The sequence below is a fragment of the Homo sapiens genome, chromosome 10, assembly GCF_000001405.40.
Source record: "Homo sapiens chromosome 10, GRCh38.p14 Primary Assembly".
Taxonomy (NCBI): Eukaryota; Metazoa; Chordata; class Mammalia; order Primates; family Hominidae; genus Homo; species Homo sapiens.
This window is the reverse complement of record NC_000010.11, coordinates 23,122,014-23,127,916: the sequence shown is the minus strand read 5'-3', so window position 1 is coordinate 23,127,916 and position 5,903 is coordinate 23,122,014.

The window sequence follows — 5,903 nt, the reverse complement described above, 5'->3', positions numbered from 1 at the left end:
ACAAAAGCCAGAGATAGCACGCAAAACTTGTAAGCAGCAAGAGGAAAATGACAGATTGTACCGGGGAGCAACAATCCTAGTAACATCCAACTTTTCTTCAAAAATCATGGAAGGCAGAAGAGAGTGGAGCAAAAAACCTGTCAACCCAAGATTCTATAACCAATGAAAATAACATTCAAGAATAGGCCAGGCATGGTGGCTCATGCCTGTAATCCTAGGACTTTGGGAGGCCAAGGCAGATGGATCGCCTGAACCCAGGAGTTTGAGACCAACCGGGGCAACATAGAAAGATCTCATATCTACAAAAAATAGAAAATGTAGCCACGTGTGGTGGTGCATACCTGTAGTCCCAGCTACTTGCGAGGCTGAAGTGGGAGAGGATCACTTGAGTTTGGGAGATTGAGGCTGCAGTGAGCTGTGATCACACCAGCGCACTCCAGCCTGGGTGACAGAGTAAGACCCTGTCTCAAAAAAAACGAACAAACAGACATTTTCATTTAAAAGAAAAGTTACAGAATTAGTTACCAGCAAACCTGCACTGTAGGAAATACTAAAGAAAGTCATTCAGTCTGGAGAAAAACCATATAGAAACTTGGATTCTCTGAAAATAATAAAAAGCATGAGTAATGGCAAGTACCTGGCTAAACACAAGTTTTTTTTCTTTTTGCCTTTTACCTCTTAATTATTTTAATAAACCACATTTAAAAAATTATAACATGGTCTTTTGGGGTTTGTAATGTTATAGATGACTACATATAAAAACCATAAAATAGAAAGGAACATGGACTGATAGGATTGCAAGATTTCTATATTTTATGTGAAGTAGTGAAGTAATCATTATAAGCACCCAGTGAAAAGTTGTGTGTGTGTGTGTGTGTGTGTGTGTGGTGTGTGTATTCCTTCCACAACCACTAAAAAAAATTAAGAAGTCTAGCTAAATGAAAACAGGAAAATTAAAAAGGAATTCTGAAAAATATTCAAAGAATTCAAAAAGAAAAATCACAAAAGAAGGAACAAAGGCAAAACAACAGAAGAGACAAAAATAAAAAATAAGACAGATCCCAAATGCAAGCATGTGAATGGTTGCAGCAAGTGTTGATGAACTAAACAATGCAATTAAAAGGCAGAGATTGTCAAAATGGACCAAAAAAAAAACAAGACCCAACTATATGTTTATTAGAGAAGAACCAGCAAATATATTGACAAATATGTTGAAAGAAAATGGGTGGAAAAATACACCATGCAAACAGTAGACATCAAAAGGCTAGACTGGCTAGACTGATATCAGACAAAATATACTTAAGCCAAAATGTACACTGCATATTTTTAAGTGGAGAATTTTATATTATATGAAATTTTATGTTCTGTCAATTATATCACAATAAGAAATGTATTATCATATAATTTCATTACTCCATAATGATAAAAGTCTTATTGTCAAGGACAACACAACAGTCGAAATTTGTATGCATCCAATATATGAAGCAAAAATACATGAAGCAAGTAACTGACAGAATGAAAGTGCAGAAGAGATAGTTCCACAAACATCACTGCAAATATTAACATCTCTACCTAGCAGCTACTAGAACAATTAGACCAGAAAATGAGTAAAGACATAGAAGTTTTGAACAATATTATCAACCAACTTGACTTGATATTTATAGAACACTTCACCAAAAATGGCAGAATACACATTATTTTCAAGTGCACCTGGTGTGTTTGTCAAGATAGGCCATATTTTGGGCCACAAAACACAACTCAATAAATTTGAATAGTTTAAAATCACGCAGGCTATGTTCTCTGTCCACAAAGGATTAAACTGGAATTCAATAATAATGAGATAACCAGGAAAATTTCAAATATCTGGACTTCAACATACTTCTGAATAATCACTAGATCAAAGAAGAGTCACAAGTAATATTAGAAAATATGTTGATAATATATCATATACCTATGATAATGAAAGCATATCAAAATTTGTGGGATGTAGGGTAAAACAGAACATATAGGGAAATATGTAGCTTTAATGCCTACATGGGAAAAGAAGCAAAGTCTAAAAATAAAGCTCAGTGATCTAAGCTTCCACCTTAAGAAATTATAAAAATAAGTCCAAGTTATGCTCAAAGTAAACAAAAGGAAGGAAAGGATAAAGGGTAAAAATCAATAAAATAGAAAAGATAAATGGCGTGAACCCGGGAGGCGTAGCTTGCAGTGAGCCGAGATCGTGCCACTGCACTCCAGCCTGGGCGACAGAGTGAGTCTCCATCTCAAAAAAAAAAAAAAAAAAAAAGAAGTAGAGAAAAATCAATAAAACCAAAAGCCACGTTTTTGAAATAAATTCAATAAAACCGACCAGCTGTAGCCAGACTAGTGAAGAAAACAGAGGAGACAAATCCCCATTAGGAATGAAAGAAGGGGTTTTTCTACACGTCCTTCAGACATGAAAAGAATAAGAAGGGCATACTGTGAACAATTCCATGCTGATAAGCTTGACGATCTAGATAAAATACTACTTAAAAAGCAAATTTTTTTTTTTTTTTTTTTTTTTTTGAGACGGAGTCTTGCTCTTGTCGCTCAGGCTGGAGTGTAGTGGTGCGATCTCGGCTCACCACAAGCTCCGCCACCCGGGTTCATGCCATTCTCCTGCCTCAGCCTCCCGAGTAGCTAGGATTACAGGCACCCGCCACCACGCCCGGCTAATTTTTTTGTATTTTTAGTAGAGACGGGTTTTCACTGTGTTAGCCAGGATGGTCTCGATCTCCTGACCTCGTGATCCGCCTGCCTCGGCCTCCCAAAGTGATGGGATTACAGGCGTGAGCCACCTTGCCCGGCTTAAAAAGCAAATTTACCAAAACTGCCTCAAGAAAATTTGGCAGCCCTATTTAAATTAATAATAAAAACTTTCCCACATAGAAAACTCCAGATCTAGATCACTTCACTGGGGAATTCCACCAGTTATTTAAGGAAGAAATGACGCCAATCTTACACCAACGTTTTCAAAATATAAAAGAGGAGGGAGCATTTCCCAGATCGTTTTATGGGGCTAACATTACCTTTATTAGAAAATCAAATACATCACAAGATAATAGAACTGCAGAGCAATATTACTCATGAGCATAGAAACAAAAAGTTCCTAACAAAATATAGCAAATAAGAACCAATAACATGTAAAAAGAATACTATCTATCATATCCAAGTGGGGTTTATCTCAGAATGCAAGGTTGGCTTAACATCAGAAAATCAATCAATATAATCTACTCTATGAATAGAAAACAGAAAAAGAACCATATAATTATTTAAATGGATGCAGAAAAAACATTTGATAAAAATCAACACTCTTTCATCACTAAATCTCTCAACAACTAGGAATAGAAGTCTTCCTCATCCAATTAAGGTTATAAAAAAAATCTACAGCTAACATCAAACTCAATGGTGAAGATTTAATGTTTTCTACCTAAAATCACAAACAAAGCAAAGCAGGCATATCCACTCTCACTATTTGCATTTAAATTTGTATTGTAAGACCCAGATAGTGAATAAGGCAAGAAAAAGAAAAAGGCAAATTGGAAAGAAGAAGTAAAACTGTCCTATTTGCAGACATGATTTTGTATGTACAAAGCTCTAAGAAATCCAGAAAAAAGTTACAAGGATTAATATAAGTCAATTTAGTAAAGTTGCAGGATACATGTTCAAAACACAAAAATTAATTGTATTTCTATATATAGTGAAAGAATAGAAAATAAAAATGTAAATAACAATTCAATTTATGACAGTATTAAGAAAATTAAAATATTTTGGCATTAATTTAACAAAATATGTGCAAGACCCACATAGTAAAAACAACAAAATATTTAAAGAAAAACTAAAGCATACTTAAATAAACAGAGAAACATACCAGGCTGGTGGACTGGGACACTCAATATTTTTAAGATGCCAGTTCTCCCCAGATTGATATATCAATGCAATACCAATCAAAATTCCAGCAAGACTTTTTGTAGAAATTTCCAAGCAAATTCTAAAATTTATATGGAAATGCACATGTTTTGGTTATGTTTTTCCAATTGTGTTCTTTTTTCAAAATTGTTTTAGCATAAAACAACTAGCCAAGACTTGCTATAAACCTATAATTTCAATACAGTGTGGTATAAATGCCATAAGATTTTCAAGACTTGCTATAAACCTATAATAATGTCAAGACTTGCTATAAACCTATAATAATCAATACAGTGTGGTATAAATGCCATAGGAATAGATATATCAATGGAACAGAATAGAGAGTCCAGAAATAGACCCATGCTAATATGGAAATTAATTTTTTTGAAAAATGTCAAGGAAATTCAAGGAAGTCTTCAGTAAACAGTGCTGGGATAATTGGCTATCTGTAGAGGAAAAAATTCTAATTCCCCAAATTAGAACTCTATACTCAGGGAAAATATTCCTCAGAATGAAAGGAGAATAAATACGTTTCCTCACCAACAAAAACTGAAAAAAAATCATCACTAGGAAATATGAACTAATGGGAAAAATAAAAGAAGTTCGGCCAGGCACGGTGACTCACGCCTGTAATCCCAGCACTTTGGGAGTTCAAGGCGGGTGGATCACAGGCTCAGGAGTTCAAGACCAGCCTGGCCAAGATGGTGAAACCCCGTCTCTACTAAAAATACAAAAATTAGCCGAATGCGGTGGCAGGCGCCTGTAATCCCAGCTTCTCAGGAGGCTGAGGCAGGAGAATCTTTTGAACTCGGGGGTGGCAGAAGTTGCAGTGAGCCGAGATCGCACCACTGCACTCCAGCCTGGACGACAGAGTGAGACTCCATCTCACAAAAAAAAACAAAAAAAGAAAAACAAAAAGAAGTTCTTCAGGCAGAAGAAAAATAATCACACAGGGAAACACAGAATTGCAGGAAGAAATAAAAGAGCAACAAAAGAGGCAAATATGTAGGTAAATATAAATGAGTATCAACCACATATACTAAAAACATATATTATTATATATTAGTATGTTATATATTAGTGTATATTTATTAGTATACATATTAGTGTATATTATATATTTTATACTGATTCATTATATACTAATTATTAGTATATATTCGTACATATTTTAGTATATTATTATAATGGTTTGGGGGCTTTAAAGTGTGTGTGAAATGAAATACATGAGAATAGTAAAACAAAATGTGAGAGGATGTTAATAAAGTGTTCTAAGGCTAACATTCCTGGAGAACTCAAAATAAGTAATAATTTACATATGATGGTAACAAGTAAGGAAGCATGTTGTAATTTCCATGGTTGCTACTAAAAGAAATGTAAAATAATATATAACAAGTTCATAAAGAGAAAAAAAGTATAAACAAGTTTCCTTTTTGCCCATAAAGTCACAAAGAGAATGATTTATATACTTTCAGTAACAAATTATTCAAGACTCTTGATTTGTGAAATACTTGAGTTGCTATTAGTCTTGGTATAACCAAATGCCTGCTACCATGTGAGCCAATTCTTATTTGTCATTTTTAATTTAGAGGTTTTTTGTTTTTTGGTTTTTGTTTTTGTTTTTTTTTTTTTTTTTGAGATGGAGTTTTGCTCTTGTTGCCCAGGCTGGAGTGCAATGGTGTGATCTTGGCTCACTGCAACCTCCACCTCCTGGGTTCAAGCAATTCTCCTGCCTCAGCCTCCCAAGTAGCTGGGATTACAGGCATGTGCCACCATGCCCGGCTAACTTGGTATTTTTAGTAGAGATGGAGTTTCTCCATGTTTGTCAGGCTGGTCTCAAACTCCTGACCTCAGGTGATCCGCCTGCCTTGGCCTCCCAAAGTGCTGGGATTGCAGGTGTGAGCCACCACGCCTGGCTAGAGTTTTTTTTATAAAAGAGCATGTTCATTGACTTAGCCAAAAAGCAAACA